The sequence below is a fragment of the Homo sapiens genome, chromosome 9, assembly GCF_000001405.40.
Source record: "Homo sapiens chromosome 9, GRCh38.p14 Primary Assembly".
Classification (NCBI taxonomy): domain Eukaryota; kingdom Metazoa; phylum Chordata; class Mammalia; order Primates; family Hominidae; genus Homo; species Homo sapiens.
The window spans coordinates 35750745-35778567 of record NC_000009.12 but is presented as its reverse complement, the minus strand read 5'-3'; the positions used below and the strand labels follow the sequence as shown (position 1 = coordinate 35778567).

Below are 27823 nucleotides of genomic sequence, written 5' to 3'. Positions count from 1 at the left end.
CAAAGTATTCTGACTGCTTGAACACTTTTGTATATTCAGCTTATTTTTCAGTATAATGTTGTGATACATCCTTCTACAGAGTTAATATGATTAATAATTGAGGGACTTTAGAGAAGGGGCCAGAAATTTAATTATGCTTTAAAACGTAGCTTTTGGACTGGAAACTGTTAACAGCGAATACCTCCCTGAAGGGGAACAAGGTATCTAAAGGGCAAGATGAAAGAGACAGTTTTTTCATTATCTATCATTTTGTATACCTTTTTTTGACACAGAATTTCGCTCTTGTTGCCCAGGCTGTAGAACAATGGCATGATCTTGGCTCACTGCAACCTCTGTCTCCCGGGTTCAAGTGATTCTCCTGCCTCAGCCTCCCGAGTAGCTGGGATTACAGGCATGCGCCACCACGCCCGGCCAATTTTTTTGTATTTTTAGTAGAGACGGGGTTTCTCCATGTTGATCAGGCTGGTCTCAAACTCCCGACCTCAGGTGATCTGCCCACCTCGGCTTCCCAAAGCGCTGGGATTACAGGCATGAGCCACCGCGCCTGGCCCATTTTGTATAGCTTTAATTTTGTAACAGGTGTGCAAGTATGACCTATTCAAAATTTTTAATTAAAAATGAATCTTAATCATAAACAAGAAAGCATAAAAATATGTCATTGATATGGGGTGCTTGATATCTTGAATGTTTTAAAGGATGGCAATGGGACCTCAAAGGGAAAGATGGGATTTCTTTTAATAGATAAACACACATGGTGAATCCCTCATAGCTGTAGCAAGGAGATTAAAAACATCAAAGGGCAGAACGGTAACATCAGAGCTAAGAAGGCTTTTCTGAAAACCAGTCATTTGGAACCAAAAGATAAAGTATTACAAAAAGTATAATCCAAGATCAGTAGGTCTGAAGAAGAAGAGTTAGAACTAGAACATCTTACAAGAAACAAGTACCAGGCTGGGCGCGTTGGCTCACACCTGTAATCCTAGCACTTTGGGAGGCCAAGATGGAAGGATCATTTGAGGCCAAAGTTTGAAACCAGCCTGGTCAACATAGCAAGACCCTATCTCTCTCTCTATATATATAAAAATAAATAAATGAAAGAAACAAGTACAAAAAAAAAAAAAACCACAAAACATGATTTAGGCCTGGCACAGTGGCTCACGCCTGTAATCCCAGCACTTTGGGAGGCTGAGGAGGGTGGATCACGAGGTCAGGAGATCGAGACCATCCTGGCTAACATAGTGAAACCCCATCTCTACTAAAAATACAAAAAATTAGCCAGGCATGGTGGTGGGCACCTGTAGTCCCAGCTACTGGGGAGGCTGAGGCAGGAGAAAGGTGTGAACCTGGGAGGCGGAGCTTGCAGTGAGCCAAGATCATGCCACCGCACTCCAGCCTGGGTGACAGAGCAAGACTCTGTCTCAAAAAAAAAAAAAAAAAAAAGAAAAACACCTGATTTAGATAACTTCATGTATAATGTCATAAAAACAAAGCTAAGATTGGTTGGGGTATATCTGGCCCAAGAATAAATTCAATTATTTTGATTTTCCACAAAGCAAATTTTTTTTTTTTTTTTGAGACAGAGTCTCACTCTGTCACCCAGGCTGGAGTGCAGTAGTGCCAGCTCGGCTCACTGGACGCTCCACCTCCCAGGTTCAAGCGATTCTCCTGCCTCAGCCTCCTGAGTAGCTGGGACTACAGTCGCCCGCCACCACGTCCGGCTAATTTTTTGTATTTTTAGTGGAGACGAGGTTTCACCGTGTTAGCCAGGATGGTCTCGATCTCCTGACCTCATGATCTGCTCACCTTGGCCTCCCAAAGTGCTGGGATTACAGGCGTGAACCACCGCGCCTGGCCCACAAAGCAAATCTTGATCAAACACTAGACAAGATGAACTGTAGGGCTGACTTAGACTCTTCCTTGAGGGCCAAGGATGACACTTTGAAAATAAAGAAATAAAATATTTATTTAGATGAGAATAGGGGGCCAGATGCGGTTGCTCATGCCTGTAATCCCAACAATTTGGGAGGCCGAGGGAGGTAGATCACCTGAGGTTAGGAGTTCAAGACCAGCCTAGCCAACATAATGAAACCCTGTCTCTACTGAAAATACAAAAATTAGCCAGGCATGGTGCAGACGCCCGTAATTCCAGCTACTCGGGAGGCTGAGGGCAGGAGAATTGATTGAACCCAGGAGGTGAAGGTTGCAGTGAACCGAGATCATACCACTGCGCCCCAGCCTGGATGACACAGCAAGACTCCATCTAAAAAAAAAAAAGAAGAAGAAGGAGAAGGAGAATAGGCCAAAAACAACAGGCATGATCTATATGACTGCAAAGGTTCCACATGAGTAGTCGTCATTGTCCTAAACACCTGCTGGGTCACCAAGAGAGAAAAACAGAGGAGTAATTTGATGCCAGCCTCTCCCACCAGTGACAGCTAAGAACACCTCCCACTACTGAGGGTAGCTAAACTGTCTAACAAAAAGGTCAAAGAAGTTTGCCTATCATCTGTGATTCAGAGGAAAACAAGAAAAGAGCATTACTGTTTTTTTCTTTCAAATCTAGGCCTTAAGCTAACCTGTTAGAGGTCAAATAAACAGGCTCCAAAATCCCCAGATTAAGACCTATTTGCAGTAACAATAAATGTAAAAGCACCTTGTATATTGTAAAGCATTATATAAATGTCCATTATTATGGTAATTATTAGGGGTCCGTCATATCCAAAATTGAACTACATCCCACCATCAGCAGTTTGGGACCATATTCTGGAAGAGTAAAGCAAAAATTTTTTTAAAAGAGTTTGCTTGTTTTTACACTGTGTAAAGGTTTTCAAATTTTTCATCTCTTCATTGAAAAGTCTAATAAGAAGAGCTGATCAGTAGTATATGACCAAAAAAGAGAAACTGTTCAACTTAGTTCAATATCCTTAAGAAGTGTACTAACTAGGAAGAGACAAACGCAAGCTTATGTGGAAGCGTGTGTAGTAAATGGTGGCGCTCCTTCCCATTCCCTCCACAGATGGCTTCCTGCTGAGCTCAGTCAGGGAGGCACTGGCAGAAAACTGAACGAGAGAAGCCAGACTATCTCTTCCCCTTCTCTCCCAGCCTTGGCCAGCATCTGGACAGGCACTCTTTGGCCCCAGCTTCCCTAGAACAGGCCCCCAAAGTTCCGGCTTCTAAGTTACCCTGCCCCTTGCACTTCCCCTCCTTCCCACAGCCTAGGGAGAATAGAAGGTTCGGTTGCTAATCTTCCCCTGCATTGCCTCACCTTCCCTTGAAAGGCTTCTCAGCTCTTCCACCATATTCACAGCCAGCTAATTCTCTGGATTAAATGCCCTCTGGTTTAAATGCTTAGAGTGAGTTCTGTTTTCCTGTTTGGACCCTAAATCTGGCAGCTAAACAAAAAAAAATGAATTTACTGCACTGAGGGCAAAGACCCTGGCTCCAAAACTGCCAAGTTCAAGGTTCACTGCTATCAGTGTGGGTCCATCCAGATGGAGTAATATAGAGGAGTGAAGAGACAGAACTGATTTCCCTTTTCTCCCAAAGGAACACAGGAGAGAAAATGAATTTGGAGAAAACAGAGAGAAAAGGGTATTATAAATTTCCTGCTTCCCAATCCTCGAGACAATATGGGGAGGAGGCTGCTGAAAAAGACAAGGATGTGACTGAAGCCCCCCCCACCAAAATTTGGGATGAGTCAAAGAGGGGAATTGACCTGTATAAAAACCAAAAACACTGAAAAGATTATAGTACTCCCCTCCTCCAAAAAAGAAATAAAAATAAAATCAATAAATTCAAATTTCCCCATAGTAACTATTTCCATGTTTTTTTTTGTTTTGTTTTTGAGACAGAGTCTTGCTCTGTCGCCCAGGATGGAATGCAGCGGCACAATCTCGGCTCACTGCAAGCTCCGCCTCCCGGGTTCACGCCACTCTCCTGCCTCAGCCTCCCCAGTAGCTGGGACTACAGGCGCCCGCCAACACGCCCGGCTATTTTGTATTTTTAGTAGAGACGGGGTTTCACCGTGTTAGCCAGGATGGTCTCTATCTCCTGACCTCGTGATCCACCCGCCTCAGCCTCCCAAAGTGCTGGGATTACAGGCGTGAGCCACCGCGCCCGGCCAAGTACTTCCATGTTTTTAAAAACACAGCAACATCCTTTCCTCCAAATCTATTTAGTACCACTGCTTTGCTGGGACCCTAAAGGCACACACTTAGTCTGCCTACCGGGTCATCCAGCAAAAGGCCTGTGCAGCCTGCCCTGACCAGAGCTGAGCACAGTCAGTCTCTCAGGGAGGGAGGCGTTTGCTGCCATGGGGGAGCAAGGTGCTGAGGCTGAGTCTCCTGAGGACCCAGCAGTGGTAGAACTGGGGTATGACCCCTTCAGAGTCCCATGTACATTCAACGAAAACCGGAATAACCCAGATTAACCATTCACTTCATTCAACCAACTTATAATAATTTTTGACTGTTTTAATGAAATTTATCATCAGAGAATAAAGTTTGTGCACCAATACACATTTTTTAAAGTGGCTATAAAACTGAAATAACAATGGATTGTTTTTTCACATATAAAAAGATCTTCAGAAATAATAATACGGGCCAGGTGTGGTGGCTCACACCTGCAACCCCAACACTGGGAGTCCAAGGCAGGAGGATTGCTTGAGCTCAGGAGTTCAAGACCAGCCTGGGCAACATAGCAAGACCCCATCTCTTTTATTTATTTTAAAAATTAAATAAATAAATAATTTTTAAAAAGAAACCTGGGGCTGGGCTCGGTGGCTCACGCCTGTAATCCCAGCATTTTGGGAGGCCAAGGTGGGTGGATTATCTGAGGTCAGGAGTTCGAGACCAGCCTGGCCAACATGATGAAACCCCATCTCTACTAAAAACACAAAAATTAGCCAGGCCTAGTGGCATGCGCCTGTAGTCACAGCTACTTGGGAGGCTGTGGCAGGAGAATCGCTTGAATCCAGGAGGCAGAGGTTGCAGTGAGCCAAGATAGCACCACTGCATTCCAGCCTGGGTGACAAAGCAGCCTCCGTCTCAAAAAAAAAAAGAAAAAGGAAACCTGGAACAGTATAAATCAAAATGTTAAGAGTGACTGTCTCTTTAGGAATAGTATGTGTTAGAATTTATACATATATATTTCTTTTCTTTTCTTTTCTTTCTTTTTACTTAAGACAGGTTCTTACTCTGTCATCCAGGCTGACAGAGTAGTGCGATCTCAGCTCACTGCAGGCTCAACCTCCTGGGCTCAAGCAATCCTCCTGCCTCAGCCTCCTGAGTAGCTGGGATTATAGGCATTCACCACCACACCTGGCTATTTGTTTTTTATTTTTCGTAGAGACAAGGTCTCACTATATTGCCCAGGCTGGTCTTGAACTCCTGGGCTCAAGTGATCCTCCCGACTCAGCCTCCCAAAGTGCTGGGGTAACAGGTGTGAGCCACCATGCCTGGCTGTACTTTTCAATAATTATGTATTACTTTTGCAATAAGAAGCTATATATGGGTTTTTTTAAGGTACCACAAGGATAAAAGAATACCAAAGGACTTTTTGTAAATGTCACTGAAATAGGTCTGTAGTCTCCACTTAACAAATACACCAGTAAAGTTTGAGAGTTTTATGTATAAATTACCAGCATATTTGTTTATGAAGACATATTACTTTAAAACACAACTTTATAGCTCATTTATACAACCCCACCACAGTTAGTATGCAGCTCAAAAAATATTTGTTGAATAGTCTAGTATAAAACTTTTTTTTTTTTTTTTTTTGAGACAGAGTCTCGCTCTGTTGCCCAGGCTGGAGTGCCGTGGTCCGATCTCGGCTCACTGCAAGCTCCGCCTCCCAGGTTCACGCCATTCTCCTGCCTCAGCCTCCTGAGTAGCTGGAACTACAGGCGCCCGCCACCACGCCCGGCTAATTTTTTGTATTTTTAGGAGATGGGGTTTCACCGTGTTAGCCAGGATGGTCTCGATCCCCTGACCTCATGATCCGCCTGCCTCGGCCTCCCAAAGTGCTGGGATTACAGCCGTGAGCCACCGCGCCTGGCCTCTAGTATAAAATTTTTACAAATGATCTGGATGAAGAAGAATACAGTGGAGTTGTTAGTTTGCATATGACAGTAAGTTCCTCCAGTTACACATCAGTCACATTTGATGTTACTGTCATCTACTTAAAACTCTTACCATGGTTTCTATAATAGCTCATACTCATAGTCATCCTTCCATCTCAATATCCAGCTGATGTCTCCCCGTGATGAAGATCCTCTTCTTCCTCTGAGCTCGAAGCTCCCCATCTCCAGGCTCTAGTCCTCAGATTTCTGCATTCTTCTTTCCACACTCATTTCCTTGGTGAGTTAATCCATAACCATGCCGTCACCTGTCACCTTGATGCATATAACTGACAGTAGAAAATGACCTTGTTTCACTGGGTGTGGGCATATGTGTCACTGTTGCTACATATGTAAGGTATCTCAATATTGCACAACAGTAATTAATAGAATTGTGTAGTACAACTCCCCAAGGAAAAGATTGCTTGGAATATTTGAGAAAGAGTTGTTGGCACAAATGGCAACTCCTGCCTCCCCTCCCCCAAAAGCAAACCAAATAAAAATAATACATAAATAGAAAAAAAGTGAGCAAAGCATGTGTCTAAAATTCTCAGGTTTATGGTGTTATACCTTGTTTGGGGAAGGAAGGAAGAAACTATGTAAATGCAATAATTGGCAAACGGAAGATAGAGAAAAAAGGTCTTAGAGTCTACATTTTTAAAACTCACTTACATGAACAAAGTACACATTTTTATCAATCACATCTTTGTTTTTTAATTTTTCTGGCAGTCAGTCCCAGCCAGCTGGATTACAGCCAGATTACTCTTGTGTACTCAGCTTTAAGGCAAACCTAACTGCCTCCCTTCTCTTCCAATCAGATTTCTCCCCTTAAGCTTCTCCTACATAGAAATTACAACCCACCACTTAAACCCAGGGTATGTTAAATTTAGGTCCTGAAATAAGCTAAGAGCTAGCCTCAGACCCAATTCACAGAACATAGAGATTATAGATTTTTGGAATTAGAAGACAGCAATTTTGGGCTAATTTTTCATCAATCTTCACTGAAGGGTAGAACTACTAACCTTAACATCTAGCTAATAAATATGTTTCAGAAAAGCAAAACGGGAGAGAAGGAGATGGTTAAGGAGAACAGAACTTCCAAGGCTCAGAACCACTAACACCTCCAGAAGGGGTAAAGGAAGCATCTAATCATATCTAGGCCAATAAAGCTGGCTGTGCTCCGGGCTGACTGCTTTTTAGGACAGTGTGTAAGGACACTGGTTCCGGGACTTGCCAGCCAAGCAGAGGGGTTACTATAAATATTTGTTACGGAAGTTACTCCTCAGAAAAGGAGTGCTAGCCAAACTAAACCAAGATCAAGAGCCAAGGAGAATCAACTGGGCTAGAGAATCAGAGGGGCAAAGATAGAGGCAAAGACAGAGAAAAAAATTAAGTTCAGCTTCTAGAAATGATAAAAGGGCAACAAAATTAATGGGATGCTTCAGATCCAGAGACTGAAATTCACTCTGATCCTACCAAACCTCACCAGGTTAAAGGTTTACCCTGAAGATATAATACGCCTGTGTGAGTACCTGTTCTTTCCTCTGAACCCCTGCTACTTCCTGGAGTTCAGGTTTTCTTCAGATTTGACAGGCAGAAGGCTGCTCTATTTATTAGGGAGATGCTTAGCGGAGGCTGGGAGCTCCAGGTGTGCTCCTCTGATCCTCTGTAGCCTACTCACTCATTCAATTATTATAAGTAACCTAAGCATCTCCAGGAGTGCAGCCAAACACTCTTAACACTCCCCTACAGCTGACTGTAGTGGTACACCCTCCATGACACCACACTGTCCAGGTTTCTTCCAACCAGCTGGCAGCTCTTTCTCAGTCTCTTACTGACCCTTCCTTCTCTACCTGCCCCTGGGTTGATTGATGATCCTCAGGGATCTATTCTAGATTTCGTTTTCCACTCAACTCTCTCTCTCTCTCTCTCTCTCTCTCTCTCTCTCTCTCTCTCTCTCCATGGTAATACCTATGCCCATTGCTCCAATAACCAATTTCTATGTGCCAAGAATGAATCACCAGTCCATTTCTATCAGCTTTCAAATCATATACCTAATTGCCCACAGGATATCTTCACTTGATGGTCTTGTAAGAACTTTGAACTCAACATCCAAACAAGACACATGATTTTCCTCCAAAATATCTTCCCACCCAGTGTTCTCCTACTCAGCAAAGGACACTATCATCCACATAGGTGCTCAGCCAAAAACCTCAGTTATTCTTGAATTCTCCATCTCCCTCACTACTCTCCACATCTAAGCCTTGCTGGACATACCTCCAAAATATGCCCCAAATCTATCTTCCCTACTACCTCTACCCTATGCAGTTCAAACCACCATCATCCTTCATCTGGACTAATTAACAATCCCTTAACTTGTCTCCCAGCATCTAGTGTTGATCCACTCCAACCCACACTATAAAACATTCAAAATGCAGTACTGGTAAGAATCTTAGGCGGAGAAACTGAAGCAGTCCCTGCCCCCAGGTTTGGCAGTGAAGGAGCTGAAATGAACCAGACATGCAGATTTGAACTACATTAAAATTTTTAAGTTAATTTTTTTAATGCAGTGCTGGCAAAGTCAATCCTCTGCATAAAACTCTTGAATAGCTTCCCATTGTGCTTAGGATGAAATACAAACAACTGATCCTGAATTTCAAGGTGCCCCATGGTCAGGTCCCTGCCTCTCTTCAGCCTCATCTCACGTCACATCCCTCTTCCTCATCCTCTACACTCTAGACACACTGAACTTTTGTTCCTTTAATTTCTCTCATCTTTGCACGTTGTTCCTTCTGCCTGAAACTTTCTTCCGACTTTTCATCTGATTACCTCAAAATCATTATTAGATCACAGCACAAACCTTCCTACTTCCTTTACAAACTATGTTCTCCCAAATATGTGTACTCCAATAAGACTCTGTATTTTCTCAGTAATATTTCTGAAGCTTAATATTGCTCAAACTTCATTGTATTCATGTGTGTTTATTCCCTTATCTCTACAAAATACTGTGTCCTCAGTGCCTAGCACAGTACATGGCATAACAGACTCAATAAAAGAATGAGCGAATGAGAAAAAAAATGAATGACAAAATCAGGGTGGGTTGAGCTCCTCAGGGTGAGGAGAGATAACAGGTGGATGCTGATGGAAACAGCATCAAGGACAACAAGACAAGAACCTGTCCTCCCAAGTCTGACAGGGCCAGGTACAGTAGATGTGTTTCAACCACATGGTTCTTTCTTCCTTGGCAATGGGTGCAGCCAGGGCTGTGACACTGGTGGTGCTGAGGCAGGTACACATGGGCACGCAGTGCCCCTGCAGCTGAGTGCACCTAGCCCCCTGCTCAGCTAGGCCGCTTGCTACCTAACTTATCTCAAATGGGCCCAATCAGTCCCTCCTGGACACAGTAAACAGGCCTGCCTCATTCCACATTCAGTCCTGCCTCAGTTTATCGAAAGTGGTGGGTGAGCTGAGGGCACCCTCTACTCACATGAAGGTCTTGTGCATCTTCACAGTTGCCTACATTGTCCCTCTTAAGCCCCCAAACCAGTTTAACGTAGTCCTATCTGATCATTTAATGTCTTTTTAGGTACTGCTCAGACTCTCCTGAATAAAAACTGCTCAGTCTCTCAGATAGCAACCCCTCTCCTGCTTATCTACCTGAGATGGATCTGGATATATCAGGGGAAGGGGACTTCATAGCAGCAGGAAAAAGTTGCAACCCTTGAGGAAGTGCTCCTCTAGCTTCTTAAGATCTCCAGGCCAATGTTCCTTTGCCCCTGTTTGCTGCTTACTCTGCTGGCAACCATGGTCCAGCTCTGTGCTAGTATAACTCCAGGGTCTCTCTCAGCCTGGAGATAGCCTGAGTGGTACCCTCTGGCAGAATAAATTGCACCATCTTCCCCTGGCACTATTTTTTCTGAGTGTGGTTGTGATACCTATTGCACCCCTCAGATGCATGCAACAGAAACCCTTCATAGTCTCTGTGCCAAGGGCTTCCCTGTTGCACATAGGGAATGCCCCACATCTTGACCTCCAGGGTCAGACATCTCCATAAAGTCTCACTGATGTCTCTTTCAAAATAACCTGTCCACGGCCAGGCACAGTGGCTCACATCTGTAATCCCAGCACTCTGGGAGGCCAAGGTGGGTGGATCGCTTGAGCTCAGGAGTTCAAGACCAGCCTGGGCATCATGGTGAAACCTCATCTCTACAAAAAACACAAAAATTAGCCAAGAGTGGTGGCACATGCTTGTGGTCCCAGCTACTTGGGAGGGTGAGGTGGGAGGATGCAGTGAGCCACTGCATCAGAGCGACAGAGCCAGACCTTGTCTTAAAGAAAAAAAAAAAAAATCTGGCCAGGCACAGTGGCTCATGCCTATAACCCCAGCAATTTGGGAGGCTGAGGCGGGCAGATCACCTGAGATCAGGAGTTGGAGACCAGTCTGGTCAACATAGCGAAACCCTGTCTCTACTAAAAATACAAAAACTTAGCTGGGTGTCATGGTGGGCGCCTGTAATCCCAGCTACTCAGGCTGAGGCACAAGAATCGCTTGAACCTGGGAGGCGGAGGCTGCAATGAGCTGAGATCGTGCCACTGCACTCCAGCCTGGGTGACAGAGTGCAAAACAACAACAACAACAAATGTCCACTTAATGTCTACATTTCTTTTCCTATTATCTAGTTCTAGTCTTACCAGGCTATGTCCAGGCTCAGCAAGAAAGAATGCCATGATGAATTTAATGATGTCTGCTATGGATAGATGATAAAGGAATCAAGCCATGAATAACGTATTTGCTGATGTAATCTTTTTCCTCAAATCCATCAATATAAATTAATCTGCCCTCTTTATTTGTATCTACTGAAATCCTACTCATCATCCAAGACTAGATCATAGAGCTCATCCTGCTCTGATTTAACCCTATTTATTATTTGGCTATTTAATATTGGTATTAGTTTATAAATGTTAATAGTAAATGGAACTTATTTTTGATACTTGAAGTGGCTTGAAGAATGGTGGTATCATTAACACATAGTATGACTCATTTTAAGGAACACATGAATGGCTAATTATAGAAGGTATCTGGTCCTCTGGCTATCAGAAAAGAGATCTAAGAGTTCTCTAAATGTAGTATTAATGAACTCTTTCGGCAAAAAAAAAAAAAAAAAAAAACCAATTTGCTTAAACCAAAGAAAAGAGCATTAAGGCTGGTCATTACACCTCAACAGTAACAGGAACATGAGATCATTTGATATGATTCTGCATGCAGTACTGCTCTATCACATGACACATTGTATTATAGTTGGCCGTATGCAGCCCCAGATTCCCTTTTCTCTGCAGATCAGTGACTCTTTTTGGAAAGAGGTTCATGCTCTATCATACAATAATATTAAGAAGATTACCAACAATCTAAAATGCTTCCTTCAACTGAGGTTTTGAGAAATCACAGAGAGGCAACAACATTTTTCTTGACTTTACTGTATATACAATGGAGGCTCATTATAATAAAAACACAATTTCACCCACTCAAATATAAACTCCAAGGGAGCAAGGACATTGTCTAGTGTTTTCATTACTGTATCTCCAGTGCCTGACTCAGAGTAGGTAATCTATATATATTTTACTACTGAACAGTTACTACTTAATCAATATTAGATGAAGATAATATAATACACAGAACAAAAGTTTAATATTTCTATTCTACAACCTGTCTTTTGAAAGAGGCAGTCATCTTTATTCCAGATTCTTCCTTTCCTACTGTGTCTTTTGTGCAGTGAGAACAAAATTAAGCATGCGATCAAAATGGATCATAGACATAAAAGACCTAAATGTAAAAGCTGAAATCATAAAACTTTTAGATATAGGAGAAAATGTAGGAAAAAAATCTTTGTGACCTGGTGTAAGGGAAGATTTCTTATGCAGGATACAAAAAACACTAGCCATACAAGAAAAAAGCAAAACATTAGACTTCACCAAAATTTAAAACTTCTGCTCCTCAAAAGACACTATAAAGAAAATAAAAAGGCAAGCCACCAATTAGGGGAAAATATTTTTAATTCATATACTCACAAAGGACTTGTATCCAGAATATATAAAGAACTCTTAAAACTCAGTAACAAGAAGCCAAACATTCCAGTTTTTTAAATGGGCAAATACTTTGAATAGATTTCACCAAATATGAGATACTGGTGACAAGAAAGCACATAAAAAGATGCTCAATGTCATTAAACATTAGGAAAATGCAAATTAAAACCACAATGAGGCAGCACTACACACCTACTAGATTTTTTTTTTTTTTTTTTTTTTTTAAGAAACTGACAATACTAAGGCCGGCACGGTGGCTCATGCCTATAATCCCAGCACTTTGGGAGGCCGAGGTGGGCAGATCACAAGGTCAGATCGAGATCATCCTGGCTAACATGGTGAAACCCCGTCTCTACTAAAAATAAAAAAATTAGCCAGGTATGGGGACGGGTACCTGTAGTCCCAGCTACTCAGGAGGCTGAGGCAGGAGAATGGCGTGAACCCAGGAGGTGGAGTTTGCAGTGAGCCGAGATCATGCCACTGCACTCCAGCCTGGGCAACAGAGCGAAACTCTGTCTCATAAAAAAAAAAAAAAAGAAAGAAAGAAGAAACTGACAATACTAAGTGCTGACAAGGATGCAAAGCAACTGGAACTCTCATATAATGCTGGTAAGTGGAAAATGGTACAGACTCTTTGGAAAACAGTATGGCACTTCTCTTTTTTAAAAATTTATCTTATTTTATGAATAAATCAGTAACTTTTTTTTTTTTTTTTGAGACAGGGTCATGCTTTGTTACCCAGGCTGGAGTGCAGAAGCAAGATCATGGCTCACTGCAACCTCCGCCTCCTACACTCAGATGATCCTACCACCTCAGCTTCCCGAGTAGCTGGGACTACAGGCCTGGGCCACCACACCCAACTAATTTTTGTATTTTTTGTAGAGATGGGGTTTCACCATGTTGTCCAAGCTGGTCTCAAACTCCTGGACTCAAGCAGTCTGCCTGCTTTGGCCTCCCAAAGTGCTGGGATTACAGGCATGAGCCACTGCACCAAACTGGCAGTCTTTTATTTATCAAGTAAAACATTCACTTACAACAGGATCTAAGATTTCACTTCTAGGCATTTATCTTAAAAAAATGCAAACATATGTCCACAAAGACTTAAATGTGAGTGTTCATAGCAGCTTCCAAAAAAGTGGAAAACAGCCCAAATATCCATCATCAGATGAATGAATAAACAAACTGCTGTATGTCCATACAATGAATTATTGCTCAGCAATAAAAATGGACTTCTTTTTTTTTTTTTTTTGAGACAGAGTCTTGCTTTGTTGTCAGGCTGGAGTGCAGTGGCGCCATCTTGGCTCATTGCAATCTGTCTCCTGAGTTCAAGAGATCCTCCTGCCTCAGCCTCCTGAGTAGCTGGGACTACTGGTGTGCACCACCACGCCTGGCTAGTTTTTGTATTTTTAGTCAAGACAGGATTTCACCATGTTGGCCAGGCTGGCCTCAAACTCCTGACCTCCCATGATCTGCCCACCTCGGCATCCCAAAGTGCTGGGATTATAGGAGTGAGCCATCGTGCCTGGCCAAACTATTAATATACATAAAAACATGAATAAATATCAAAAACAGTGTGCTGAGTTAAAGAAGCCAAATGCAGAATACATACTCTGTGACTCCATTTACATGAAACTCTACAAAACAAATCTACAGTGATAGAAACCAGATCAGTGTGGATTGCAATGAGTGAGGAGTAAATGCAAAGGGTAATAAGGAAATTTGGGGGCAGTGGTGGGGTGGTGACAGAGATGTTCTACATCTTGACTGGGAAGATGATTACACAGGTATATACATCTGCTAAAACTCACTGAATTGTACATTTTAAATGGGTACATCTTCCTGTATATAAATTATATTTCAATAAAGTTGAAAAAAGTATTTTGAAACAGTTATTTAAAAGTATTTTTTGTTATCAATAGTAGCTGGCCAACAAATCATTATAGAGATTAAGCAGCCCATTAGTAATATAAGGTTATCCTTGCTCCATTAGCCTTCTGAAACATACCGGAAGAATGAGTTCTCTGTCCAGTGGAAATGGAGGTTAATTTGTTATCCAATCCACAGGAGTTAAAGAGTGTGAATATGCACACTTCTCATCATTAGCTTAAGTCGAATTTTTAAAAATCAGACCAAGTGCTAAGAATTGAAATTAACTTTTTCCCAAAAGGATAATGCTTCAAAAGATCTCCATTGTGGGAAAACAAAACACTTCACTTCTTTTTTCTTCTTCTTCTTTTTATTTTATTTTATTTTCAAGACAGGGTCTCACTCTGTCTCCCAGGCTGAGTGTGGTGGCATGATCATGGCTCACTACAGCCTCAACCTCCTAGCCTCAAGCCGTCCTCCCACCTCAGCCTCCTGAGTAAAAAAAGGAAGTCCCTCTTCCTCCCCTCCTCTCTCTCCTTTCTCAATCTCTCTTATCAGAGTTAATGTCTGTCATCAGTCTGATGAGTTTTTTCTTTTCTCTTTTCTTTTTTTTTTTTTTTTTTTGAGATGGAGTCTCACTCTGTTGCCCAAACTGGAGTGCAGTGGCAAGATCTTGACTCACTGCAATCTCCATCTCCCAGGTTCAAGCGATTCTCCTGCCTCAGCCTCCCAAGCAGCTAGGATAACAGGCATACACCACCACACTCGGCTAATTTTTGTATTTTTAGTAGAGACAGGGTTTCGCCATGTTGGCCAGGCTGGTCTCGAACTCCTGACCTCAGGTGATCTGCCTGCCTTGGCCTCTCAAAGTGCTGGGATTACAGGCGTGAGCCATCGCGCCCAGTCTGATGTGTTTTCTTCCAGGCAATTTCTATATATCTCATTCTTGTTTTAAAAAATGCATGCATGTGAGATATAAATAGGATTGTATTATTCATATTATTATGTAACTTGCTTTTTATGGGCTGTGATTTTCTGTTTCTTTTGTATCTTCTTGTCATGCCTGATTAAAACTGTACACATGAAAATCTTGCCAAAGGTGAAGTCTAGGAATAGGGAGGGACTCCGTTAATCTCACTATTATATAGCCCATTAATTACTCATAATAGGATGGATTTAGGCTCTCATTCAGCTGAACAATGAGGATCCTAAAGAATGCTAACACAAGGTTAGCCTGAAAAGTTCTAAGAGATAGGGAGAAGGTTCTTAAACAGGGAAATCTCAGGACGAAAACAATGTTCCAAGAAGAATAAAATGGCAACAGTATATATAATATAGAACAGAATTAGACAGCAAGGAGACTAGTTAAGTGGCTAATACAGAATAGTAAATTAGAAGAAATGAGATTCTGGATTACAGTGGTGGCCAGTAGAATGGAGAGAAGCTTTCATTGAATTCTAACAAGGCAGACTTGTAGAGTGGAAGAAACAAAAGATTTGAACTAGAAGAGCTAGATTTGAATCCCAGCTCTGAAATTTACTAGCTGTGTGACCTCTGGCAAGACACTTCTTCCGTATCTCAGCTTCCCTTTCAATAAAAGGAACACCTTGAAATATCAGAGCCTTTAACTTTTTTTTTTTAACAGCAGAACTGTTTTTTTTTTTCCGTTAAAAAGAAAATCTTCAAGGAAGCCAGTACGTTTAATTTGTAAAACAAATAAAAGCAAGATTGTTCTGGTTGAAGCATAGGTAAAAGGGCTCAGAGCCCCAGCTAGCCTTCATTTCACCCTTCTCAGCCACTTCTGAGGCATCCTTCAGAAATCTCCAGAGGGCTGAGGAACAAAGTTTGAGAAATCTCTAAAGACTTTACTATCAACTCTATTATCAATTACTTGAGGGGGTAAAATTGACAGAGGTGCCTAGAAAAATAATAATGAATTTAATAGTGCCACAGAATCATATGACAGAAAAAGGGCGAATTGACTTTTCCTAAATCTGCCTGCTTCTCCTTGCAGGTTGAACCCAATTTAATGTCTAAAACCTCATCCGACCCTTGTGCAAACGGTCATCTAACCTCTATATGAACAATATGGCCAAAATTTACTGCCTAACAATTCAGTTCATTCCACTTTGGGGTCCTCAAATGAGTCAAAATTTCCTTATCAAGCCAAAATTTGTCCTCCATCACTAAATAAAAGTTCTTAATCTATCTTCTGGAACTAAACCAGTAAATCTAATTGCTCCTTCATCATGACAGTCCTTCAATTGTCTGAGGAGAGCTATCATGTCTGCCTTATTTCCTTGTATTCTCCCTTGCTCTTGCTCTGGCATGACATGAATATACCATGGAGGCAGCCTGCTCCTGTTTTGGATCAAGTTGAATTTTTTTTTTCAACAGAATCTCACACTGATCTCGGCTCACTGCAACCTCTGCCTCAGGTTCAAGTGATTCTCCTGCCTCAGCTGGGATGACAGGCATGTGCCAACATGCCTGGATAATTTTTTGTATTTTTGGTAGAGATGGGGGGTTTTACCATGTTGACCAGGCTGGTCTCAAACTCCTGACCTCAAGTGATCTGCCTGCCTCGGCCTCCCAAAGTGCTGGGATTACAGGTGTGAGCCACCACACCCAGTCAGAGTCAGTATTTTAAAGCATCTAAGTGCAAGTAGGTTTTCATTTATTTGTGGCTTTAAGGAAACTTAATTTAATCAAGCCAGATGATCCTCCTTTAAAAAATGACTAGCTTTGATAACTAAGTGTAAATAGAACCCAAATTCATTATTTGGTTGTTTTTGTTTTTTTGGGGTTTTTTGTTTGTTTGTTTGTTTGTTTGAGACAGGGTCTTGCTCTGTCACCCAAGCTGAAGTGCAGTGGCACAATCATGGCTCACTGCAGCATCGACCTCCCAGGCTCAAGTGATTCTCTCACCTGAGCCTCCCAAGTAGCCGAGACTACGGGAGTGCACCACCACACCTGGCTAATTTCTGTATTCTTTTTTGTAGAGACAGGGTTTTGTCATGTTACCCAGGCAGGTCTTGAACTCCTGGACTCAAGCACTCCATCTGCCTCATGTTCCCAAAGTGCTGGGATTACAGGCATGAGCCATGCACCTGGCCCTAAAAATATTCTTTTCTTACTGAACATTAGCTGCTTCCAGTGTACTAGAAGTAGATTGCCAAACCTTTTGGCCCAAAGCAAATTGTAAAGACATTTAGCTAGGGATGCAAAAACATCTAAGACTCAAGGTCCAGTGAAGCAGGCATAAATAACATAATAAATAAAGAGAAGCATCCTGATTCCAAAACTTGCATCTAACAACCAACTCCCAGGGAAATGTAGTTCTCATGATTACAAATTCAATTATCACCAAAATGACATGAAATATCAATGCTAGAAGGAAAGCTTCATTCATCATTCCTTATCCTACCCACCCCATAAATCTACTACCAGGTCTGTGAAATCAGGATCTGTGGCTTGGGCCTCAGTCTCTGCCAGTCTGGGTAGTTTTGGGGATGGGGAAAAGGAAGTATGGCTGAGTCCCTAAGGAGAAAGCAAGCCAGCATAATCACAGTCCATGATGCTTGTGGGAGCACTGAGCCTGTACAGTTTCCTGTGCTCCAGTTGTCTTGGTAACCTGAGGCCTCCTTATTTGTGTTGGCATCATGGGGCCAAAAGCGGAAGCAAAGCTGGAACACCAGGAAGACTTGCAGGAGAAAAAAATGTAGATAATGCAGCAGTTATGCCACAGGAGGGTCAAGCCTAGGGCAGAATTACCTGGTTGGGGGTGGGAAGGTAGTGTCTTGTAAAAATCAGATCTCTGGGTTCTACCTTCAGCGTTTCTGATTCAGTAGGTCTAGGATAAGCTCAGGAACCTGCAATTTTAAGAAGCTACCACCTACCAAGTAAGTCAAAGACCACACTTTTAAAATTCCAGCTACAAATCAGCAGTTGGGAAGAGAAAGTATAACCATTTAATCAATTTCAAAAAGCTGATATTCTAGTACAGTAATTCTATACACTGGAGTAGAGGGTATATTTTGTCTTCCAGGAACATTTGGCAGGATTTGGAGACATTTTGGTTGTCACATCTGAGATAATATCATTGGCATCTACTGAGCAGATGCTAAGCATCCTACGATGCACAGGACAGCCCCCCACAACAAAGGATTATCCTCCAAAATGTTAACAGTGTCACTGAGAAACTCTATTCATGAGGATATTCTGCTCTCCCAACAATGGCCCCCCACCCCGCCCATCAGCCCCAATCCATTGGAAATCAGTGCTACACAGTTTAGGTCACAATGCAGAGACTTATGCGAGATCCCCTGAAAAACTTTTGAGACCCCAGAAATCTTTTTTAAAATGGTGAATTTCATTAAAGAGATAGAAAAGGAGAAGATTAGAACTGACAATAAAGGAAAGTAAGTATGGGCAACAAGGGTGAACCAAAAAAGGGATCAAAGGAGGCTGAGGCGCTGAGTGACAGCAGCGGGAAATCAATGCTGCCCCTCAGTGGACGCAGCCCATTTGTAAAGAGATGATAAACCCATGAAAAATAACAGGCACAAAAAATGAAAAAAAAAAAAAAGGAAAAATGAATAAAGGAACTGTGTAGAAATAGCTTTAGGATTCATCAAGTGTAGATCTGGATGAAAAAAGGACATTAGAGATTCTTCTACAAAAGGATGCTTAAATAAAAATTCTCCAGCAAAGACGACAGGACTTCTAGAAGGAGATCAATAATTATATCAGAAAGGAAAAAAATTTTAAGTATTTACAACCCTCTACTCCTAATCACCCCCAAGATAGGTGGGTCCAGAAAAATGCACCTTGGTTTTACTGAGGAGAGATCATGAGAGGGAAGGGAAAGTGGAGAAGCAATTTCAGTTTCATAGCAAAGAATTCTTTTTTTTTTTTTTTTTTTTTTTTTTTTTTTTTGGAGACAGGGTCTCCCTCTGTCACCCAGGCTGGAGTGCAGTGCAGTGATGCAATCTCGGCTCACTGGAGCCTCAGCCTCCCAGGTTCCAGTGATTCTCCCATCCCAGCCTCCAGAGTAGCTGGGATTACAGGAACGCGCCACCACACCCAGCTAATTTTTGTATTTTTAGAGACAGGGTTTCACCATGTTGGCCAGGCTGGTCTCAAACTCCTGGTCTCAAGCAATCTGCCTGCCTCGGCCTCCCCAAATGTTGGGATTACAGGTGTGAGCCACTGTGCCCAGTCCATCATCTATTGTCTGTAATAATTTAGAAATCTGGCACCAGGATTATGAAATTCACTATACAGTGTGTGGCATAACACCAAGCTTAAATGGTCACTCAGTGGACTTCACAATAATGGCCACTTTATGCTTCTGGATGCAAAACGTTGGGAGAGTTTGAAGTGGATATGAATTTGAGAATGCGTTTTCTTGTAGGAAAAGTAATGGAAACATAAGCATCTTTTTCTAATCACAGGAAAGGTTAAGGCTTTGGTGAAAGCAAGCATAACTGAGTTTAAAAACAGTCTAGAATAAGAAAAGGGTAATAGAAGAGGAAGGAAGGCAGAAGTGGACCATGCAGAATAAACAATCAAGCCTAGCTTTTTTAAAAACCTGAGGTCTTACTAAAGAGAAAGGAGGAAAAACGGAAGATTTCAACATAAGAGTGTTAAAGGTGGAAAAGAGCCAGAAAGGACTGTGGGCTTAAAAAAAAAAAATCAGTGAAGCAGTAGTGGTGTATGTTGGCAAAGAGAAGTGTAGAGTTGAGAGGAGGGAGAGAATTTATAGTAGAGGAAGTCGGTGTGAAGTTTTCCTCTCAAGATGCCCAGCAGAGCAAAGAAGGAATGAAGGCAAAGGCCACTGGGAATAGAGTAGGGCTGGGGCTAAAACAGCACGGGAGAGTGCAACAGGGCCCAAAGTAAGACATTTTCTTTTCTTTTCTTTTTTTTTTCATTAATTGACCCAGATTTGCTTGTTTGGGACCAAAGGCAATGCAGAGTTTAGGGATCTTTATAATTTATAAAGTAATCACCTTTGGCCCAACATAACACAGATCATAAGGATCATGGCAGAATTCGTCTCTGAGACAAGTACAAAATACCATTTTAGAGTTGATTTTAGAAGAGAAGTCAGACTAATAAATTGCTGTGTTGTAGAAATACTATGGTGAATTAAACAGCTTTAACTTTTTCTATCAGCCACAGGATAAATACAGAAACTGTATAATTACATACACATCCACAGAAGATAGTAGCCTCATATGCTAAAATTGTGAGTTGTTTGTCTGTATACTGTAGTCCAAAGCTCCCATTCCAAGAAATGTTTTATTTGGTTCAAAATATAAAGGGCAGGTTAGAGGGCTACACAGAAAAAAGGCTAAAAATAAAGACAGTAAAATGAGGGAGAGGAAAAGTGGAAGTGCAGCACTACTGATCCAGAAAAACTGAGGCATCAGCCACAAAGAATTCAATCAAGTCAGTGAGGGGCAAATGGCACAAAAGCCAAACAAGAAAAAGGCTGAATACCATATTACCAATCTGAGAGCCTCACTTTTGGTTTTAAGTCAAATATTGAATTAGATTGTGCAACTTTTCTATTTTTATTTTTTTATTTTTAAAAATCCACCAAAATTACTTAAATCATTTGACAGAGTCATACAATTTTAAATGACTATAAAAATGTGCAGATCAGTGCCAAATTTTTTGGCAAAGGCTGAATGGCAGACAGTAATCCAAGACGCAGACAACCTTGCTTTTAAGCCATCCGTTACACAGAGACCAGCAGGCTCCCTTCTACCTGTGAGACCAAATAATCCCAAAATGTAACCAAATAATCATAACTCCCCCTACTCCTAAAACCTACCCTTCACCCTTCACTGTCTACGTCAGCCTCTGGACAGACCTGATGCCTGGGGTTTGGCCATTTCCGCCTTCCCACCCTGTGTTGGTCTCCCTCCTCCCTCCTCAGGTCCCTCAGTTCTCCCAGGCCTAACTTGGCGTGCTTCCTTCCTCTCTCACCCCAATCAATCCGGCTCTCCTTCCCTTTCTGGGTTACGCCACCTGCCCGACTCCCGGTTTCCCCCTCGGGGGCCCCTCCTTGCCCTGGGGTCTGCTCTCGGCCCGCCAAGTTCTCCCAGGGGATCCCTCCCCACCTGCCTCCATACAGTCAGACTGTGTTCAGTGTCCGTTTCGCGCCCGTAGCGACACCACGACAGAAGCCCACTAAGTGACCCTCTGCTCCCAGAAACCCTCCTGGCTCCTCCAGACCCTCCGGGGCTCTGGCCCGCAGCTCCCCTCTCCCTCCGGCGGCGGGGGTCGGCTGTGACTCACCAGAGGGCCAGCGGCCGGGGTTGGGGTGGGGGGGCCGGAATGCTCTCACTTCCTCTCCGCGCACCTGCCCCGAGGCTGGAGCGCCGCCCGGCCGGGCCTCCGGCGGATGTTTTCCTTGTTCCCAAGCGTGTAGTGCGCGCCAGCCGCCCCCTCCGGGACCTGCGCGCCAGCCACCGCGCCCCCAGGACCCAGCGGGCCTGGTCCTCACCACTCACCCCCTCCCCAGCAGGCACGCATGCGGGCTCGACCCACACCTCTGCACCGCCCCCCAACTTCTGGGAGAGGACTCCTGGCTCAGCCCAGCCTCTAGCTTTCCAGAAGCCCCTATATGCCTACCTCATCTTCGTTATAGGCGATGAACCTTCACTTCTGTCCCCGTTTCCGCACACGCACCAATCCCCACTGGCGATCCCTTCCCCTTCGGCATCACCCCCACCTTCATGCGCCCCAGCTCCCCACTCACATCCGCCCCCTATTGGGCTGGCTCTAGCTTGCAAGAGCAGAAGGTGGCCCAGGGCCCAGCCTTCCAGGATGTCCCCTGGACCCCCTCTCTGGGAAAGGCGGCAGAGCTACTGGCCACTGACAAGACCTTTGGGCCCTCGTGCTAGACAGGCCTTCGAATCCACCTGCTCCAGCCCAGAGAGCAGGCCCAGGCCGTGCCTCCCACACCGCAGCCGACCTCAGAGCACCCTGCCTCAACTGTGAGTTTTTTCTTGGCAATCCTCTGAAACGGAAAGGGTATCAGTCCTGACTAGGGCGAACGTGAGGTCCATTCTGCATCTCCATCCACCTTAGCTGTCTCCTTGGAAAAGGACAGCAAGGGAGTTTGAGGTGCACTGACACAGTCATTTCTGAACAGTGAAGAGATGACAGGTAGGGTGGTCCCCCTTGAAAAGTCAGCCAGAAGTAGCTGTATCTGATGCACTAGGTGGCAGGGAGTGAGTCTTGGAGTAAATGGGACTGAAAACGTAGAAAAACCAAATAAATGCCAAAGAGACTATCCCTATGGAGAATACCTAGAACATGGGTCTTTGAAGTGTGGAAAAATGAAAGAAATCCAATTTGACCAGGGCCTTTAGTGCCAAAGAGATGGCTAGCAGGAGAGTGGTGAGAAAGGAGAACTGGAGAGTTCACATGAGCGGAAATAGGAAGAAATGGATCCAAATCCAAGTGAGAAAAAGCAGGAGACTTAAAGTTAGCCTGGCAGGATGATGAGAAAAGGACATCTTGTCCTAGGGTAGAGGCGAGGGTGCAGATCTGGGGGAAGAAGGCTTATTGGGAACAGTTTCTCAAACTAGACATTCAGAAGTCAATACAAGGGCCAAAACCAAAATGTTCCTGGAGGTACCTGTTTTTGAAAGAGGTGGGAAAGGTGACATGGATTAGGGGTCTCCATCCCCCAGGCCACAGGCCAGTACCAGTCTGTGGCCTGTTAGGAAGCGGGAGCACAAAGCAGGAGGTGGGCGGCAGGCGAGTGAGCATTACCGCCTGAGCTCCTCCTCCTGGCAGATCAGCAGAGGCATTAGATTCTCACAGGAGTGCAAACCCCACTGTGAACTCCGCATGCAAGGGATCTAGATTGCACACTCCTTATGAGAATCTAATGCCTGATGATCTGAGATGAAACAGTTTCATCCCAAAATCATCTCCCCGCTGCTATCCCCCTCCATCCACTGGTGGAAAAATTGTTTTCCACAAAACCGGTCCCTGGTACCAAAAAGGTTGGGGACTGCTGACAAGGAGTATGAGTGTGAAAGGTGCAGAGGTCTATGCCAGGAGACAGCCATCCCCAATAGAAGCCCTCAGCTATGCACAAACTGCTTAATGTCATTCAAAGAAAATAATGTCGCCCATTTTGCCTCAGAGCTTTAGCCCCAATCACAGCAACTGCTATTTCCTGACGCTTACGCACCAGAGATGGTGATAAGAGCACTGCACGCATTATCTCAGTAATCCTCATAACAGCCCAATGAGTTGGCATTACTATCCCCAATTTATAGATGAGGAAACAGGCTCAGAGAGGTGAAGTAATCTGACCAGGTTACATAGCTAAGTGGAGTCAGGATCTGAATCCAAGAAGACTGTCTCTACAGCCCATGCTCTCAATAATCCATCCTGGGCTCCTCCAGAACCTGTGGGAAACTCAGAGGATGCCAAATGATAAATTCCTAAAAACCTCACTCCATTATATATGGGAGGAAAGAGAGGACACCTCTGTGAACCTGGAGTGATTCATCCCATCAGGGCACTTAGAGATGCTCCTCTTTGAAAGGGGAAAGAACCATCCCCAGATGTGGGGTGATCCCACATCTGCTGTATGTTTGAAGGTGATAAGCAATGGACAGTTCACCTCTGGAATGCCTGAGGAAAAGAGACCCTCCCCACCATCTCTGAGGGGCAGCCCTATTTCTTGGATACATTAGGGAAACCCTGCCCTAGGATCTGAGGGAAACACAGTCTCCACTCCAGGTGCCTGCTCACTCTCCTGGAGCTTCTGGCCGTCGCACCCTATTGCAGCTCCTGGGTTTGGCTGGGGCACAGGATTAACCATCCCCAGGAAATGCCTCCCTCCGGTCCAGGCAGGGATCCCAGCATACACACCCCTGGTGGTGGCAGTGGGGGAGAAAGGGGGAAGGTGGAATGCTTCCTTCTCTCCAGGTCAGGGAAGAGATCTGGGGACCACCTGGGGGCCCTCGCCCCTCCTGCCTCCTTGCTGGGGAAGTGCCCAGTCCAGTGCCCCCTCCATGGCCACCTCCCTCCCTCTAGCTGTGCCGGGGCATGAATCAGCTCTCACAGCTTGTTAAAGCTAGACCTCTTGTTTTCATGCCCTCACCTCAGGAAACAGAGTTACAACTTTTCCAGCTCTACTCAGCAGGGGGCCAGGGTCCTCACTTTATAAACATCCCCAGCCTGTGAGAGCAGAGGGCAGGGAGATAGTGTGAGACAGGAGCCCAGGGGAGAAAGACAGAAACTAAGACTCAAGGAGCAACGCAAAGCAAAGTCAAGGAGTCAAGACCAGAGTAGCTGAGCAGAGGCCAAGAAGGGTCTGAGAGGGCTGTGCAGCAGCAATGGCCCTAAGGATGCTCTGGGCTGGACAGGCCAAGGGGATCCTAGGAGGCTGGGGGATCATCTGCTTGGTGATGTCTCTACTCCTCCAGCACCCAGGAGTCTACAGCAAGTGCTACTTCCAAGCTCAAGGTAAAGTGGGGTGAAGCGTTAGGAATGGAGGAGCAGCAGAGAGGGCACAGGGAGGATGGGGCCTTACAGATGATCCCGTGTCAAAATACCCAGGCTTCCTCCAGCTGTGAAACAGGAAAGACAAACTAAATACGGGGATAGTGCGTACTTACTGTCTCCACCCCAGACCAGAAGAGCCTCTGCCTCTCATCAGCACTCCTACACCTACTAACATTTCCCGTTCTTCCCTAGCCCCCTGTCACTATGAGGGGAAATATTTTACCCTGGGTGAGTCTTGGCTCCGCAAGGACTGTTTCCATTGCACCTGTCTGCATCCTGTTGGCGTGGGCTGCTGTGACACGTGAGTGACCAAAGATGGCCAGAGAGAATGACTCTGATATGAGTGACTGAGGGATGACCAGGGAGTGACTAGATTGCTGTGATGTAAGAATGAACAGAAGAGCAATACAAGATGGGCCAAACCTGAAGGGACCAACACTAGTGTGAAAGATAAGGCTTCAGGCTATAAATCAGGGGAGGTTGGGGTGGACCTGGAGAGAAAATACTCCTGTTATAAAACAAAAAGGCCCACATATGGTAGGTGACAGCTTAGTTAGGAGGACCAAGGGGCCACTGAAAGGGGCTCTGTGGGGGGAAAACTGTGAGAGAGGGAACATGTGGGCAGGGATAAAGGCAGCCTTTCACTGTGCTGACTCCTTCCCCTATCCTTGGTTCCCCAGGTCCCAGCATCCCATCGACTTCCCGGCTGGGTGTGAGGTACGTCAGGAGGCAGGAACCTGCCAGTTCTCCTTGGTGCAAAAATCTGACCCTCGGCTGCCCTGCAAAGGGGGAGGGCCTGACCCAGAATGGGGCTCAGCCAACACCCCTGTTCCTGGGGCTCCTGCTCCCCACTCCAGCTAAACTCAACTGATCATCCATCTGCTGACTGCTCACTGCTGCTGCCACTTCCAGGGAAACCACTAGCAGCTGCCAATGTATTCTGAACAAATAAATTAATGCTATAGCTGAAAGCCCGACTCTCACTGTCCACGACATTGGACCCCAGGTGGAAAAAGTGGGTCCCATTAGAGTCCAGGTGCTGAGTTCTCAGTATCCGGAAGGAACTAGCACCAGGGTGGGCCAGTTTCAGATGGTTATGGTGCTGGTGCTGGGGCCTGGGGCAGCATATGAGGCCAGGGTGGGGCTAGTAGGCAGCACCTTGATGGGCAGGTCCCAGCTGAAGGTGTCTACAGGTACTTGCTCAGGTCCTGTCCAGGTGGTAGGTTCGGGCTGTTCCACAGGGGGTAGGAGTACCAATCCTGGTTCTCGGGACGTTACAAATTCAAAATGCAATCTCCACTTCAAGGACACTATGGAAGAAAAAGATTAAGGTAGAAGCATCAGAAGCTAGCAGGAGTAAAAGCCAATGACAGGATATAGTTAGTGAATGAGAAGAAAACAATCTGTGTTCAGGAAGACAGGGAAAAGTCACAGGGCAGGGAGCTGTGATTAAGGGTTTTTCTGAAGCAATGGGTACTACCACAGATGTGAGCTGAAGATAGCAGTATTAAGTACCTAATAACCTAAGAGTGAGGCAGTCAAGTCTAGGTAGCATGAAGTAATCAAAAATCAGTGTATCACAGGGTCCTAGTAGGTAGGTGTGGGGAAGGAGTTCTATCAAGCTGTTAGGAGTTTAGGGGTCAGTGCATCTAAGAAACAGGAAGAGGTTGAAGGTCTGAGAAACTGTTCCGGGTCAGAGGCTAGACGTGGGTATGTCTGGGAGTGTGTATAAGGAATCAGGATCCATTACACCCTCCCTTAGCACAGCATTTTACTGTCCCCCTCTCCCTTCTCCAGTAACAGTGAGGGTCTCACCAATGGCTGTACAGAAGCCTGGGGTGGAGCTGAGAGGGATTGGGAGGGAGAAGCTGGTTCTAGTTGTATGTAGGCAGGATTCCTGGTGCCGGGCGTGAGTCACATGTGACACAGAGGGGACACCCCCTGCCCCACGTCGCCGCTGGTACTCAGGCTGTACACGCTCCTCGGTCTGTAAGCTGACTGAAAACTGGGAGCAAGAGACAGGTGTGTGCTAACAGGAAGTGCTGTCTGTAGGTGAGAGGACAGCCCAACCTCAAGCTGTTTTACAAAGGGACCCTGGATGACCCCACTATCCCCTTCTACATGCCACCCCTCTTTATACAGGCCTTCCACCCTAGCCCTTCAACCCCAGCACCCCAGCAGGTAAGAAGCTCTGCTCCCTTCTTACCTGCAAACAAGCTACGGTTCCTTCCCCTAAGTTTAAGGTCCCCACCACGTCCTCGCCAAGTCTGTACACAGATTTGAAGATGCCAAACGTCCCAACTTTCCCTCGGCCATCACTGATATTGTATAGATCTGGGGAGAATAGGACACTATAAGCCTGGAGTCTACATACTGGATAACGTCTAGGACTGGGCACCACAGGCCAAAAGATGGGGCTTTTCTTTAAAATTGGAGGTGTCAGGTATCAGTGGATCCACAGAAGTGTGTGGTGGTTAGGAGACTGTCTCTGAGATGGGAAAACAATGAGGGGAAGGATGGGGTAGGACAATTCTGAAAGAATTCTCACGGAGGCTGCGGCAGGATGTGGCAGCCATTAGGCGTTCCCCAGCCAGCTCAGCTAGCCATGAATCTTTCTTCCCACCTTCATCCTCCTCCAAGAATGGACTGGATGGGGCTACAGCCTCATCCTGGGGAAACCGGACATCCTGAAGGCCTAGAGAAAGAATGAGTGGAGAGGTAATGCTGAGAGGGAACGGAGATGAGAGTAGAGGTTAGGGTTTTAGATTCTAACATGAGATGGCTAAAGGTAAGGGGTGCCAGGGCTGAGGTTTACATCTCTATCTCCAGAACCCTCCCTCCCTTCCCAACTCCCTAGCACTGTCACTGAGACCAGGAAGTTTCCCTGCAGTCCCTCTTGCAAGCCCTCTAAGACAATTTCTGCTTTGGCATCGCCCTTCCCCAGCCCTTCCCTCCAGGAGCCCTTGCTTACCAGTCAGCACAAGAACCCTCAGAGGGACTCTGAGTAAAGTGATAGGGGAGTTGACACGCTGGCAGCCAATGGTCAGTTTGTAGACGTACTTGACTGACTGACCCCGAAAGGAGGGTGGTCCCTCTATGGGCAGCACTTCACTGTAGGAGTCTGGTTGGGAAGTAGTTGTCAGGACAGCCAGAGGCACCAGAGGAGTCCTCCCTCCAGGAGACTTAGAAGGCAATTCAGGGATGGGGACAATCACT

The 27823-nt window shown here is 44.9% G+C and overlaps 2 protein-coding genes across 4 annotated transcripts in view, besides 2 other annotated features; one reads left to right on the top strand and one right to left on the bottom strand.

Moving 5' to 3' along the window:
• RGP1 (RGP1 partner of RAB6A GEF complex) overlaps positions 1-27823 on the bottom strand; it is a 41142-nt gene that overhangs the window by 11861 nt on the left and 1458 nt on the right. For 2 of the 3 annotated variants that reach the window (XR_007061382.1, XR_007061383.1), the window contains exons 5-10: positions 27579-27728; positions 27156-27302; positions 26814-26941; positions 26423-26612; positions 21371-25917; positions 6192-6405 (exon numbers count right to left, since the gene is read on the bottom strand). Coding sequence is in view for 1 of the 3 variants with exons in the window: in NM_001080496.3 (NP_001073965.2) it covers positions 25694-25917; positions 26423-26612; positions 26814-26941; positions 27156-27302; positions 27579-27728 (839 nt within the window). In the remaining 2 variants the exon portion in view is untranslated. Of the gene's footprint in view, positions 1-6191; positions 6406-19982; positions 25918-26422; positions 26613-26813; positions 26942-27155; positions 27303-27578; positions 27729-27823 lie in introns of those variants that run through there. The other variant, NM_001080496.3, reaches the window with a different exon arrangement.
• Positions 21252-21571: a silencer, noted in NCBI's record as "silent region_19879". NCBI's record gives its function as "represses an Ori minimal core promoter by ATAC-STARR-seq in GM12878 lymphoblastoid cells {active_cell/tissue: GM12878}" and the evidence as "EXISTENCE:reporter gene assay evidence [ECO:0000049][PMID:35858748]".
• On the top strand, positions 24292-25578 carry MSMP (microseminoprotein, prostate associated). The gene is made up of 3 exons (NM_001044264.3): positions 24292-24568; positions 24800-24908; positions 25288-25578. Exons 1-3 carry the CDS (start codon positions 24439-24441, stop codon positions 25466-25468), a joined length of 420 nt encoding a protein of 139 aa, NP_001037729.1. The 5' UTR covers positions 24292-24438; the 3' UTR covers positions 25469-25578.
• Positions 24479-25678: an enhancer, noted in NCBI's record as "MED14-independent group 3 enhancer chr9:35752887-35754086 (GRCh37/hg19 assembly coordinates)". NCBI's record gives its function as "activates an origin of replication core promoter dependent on BRD2, BRD4, P300/CBP and CDK7 cofactors, and independent of MED14, by STARR-seq in HCT116 cells {active_cell/tissue: HCT116}" and the evidence as "EXISTENCE:reporter gene assay evidence [ECO:0000049][PMID:35650434]".

Coding starts and splice junctions, on each gene's coding strand:
- MSMP (NM_001044264.3), top strand. CDS start 24,439: ATGGCCCTAAGGATGCTCTGGGCTGGACAGGCCAAGGGGATCCTAGGA. Junction 24,569..24,799: donor GTGCTACTTCCAAGCTCAAG/GTAAAGTGGGGT, acceptor GTTCTTCCCTAG/CCCCCTGTCACTATGAGGGG. Junction 24,909..25,287: donor GGCGTGGGCTGCTGTGACAC/GTGAGTGACCAA, acceptor TTGGTTCCCCAG/GTCCCAGCATCCCATCGACT.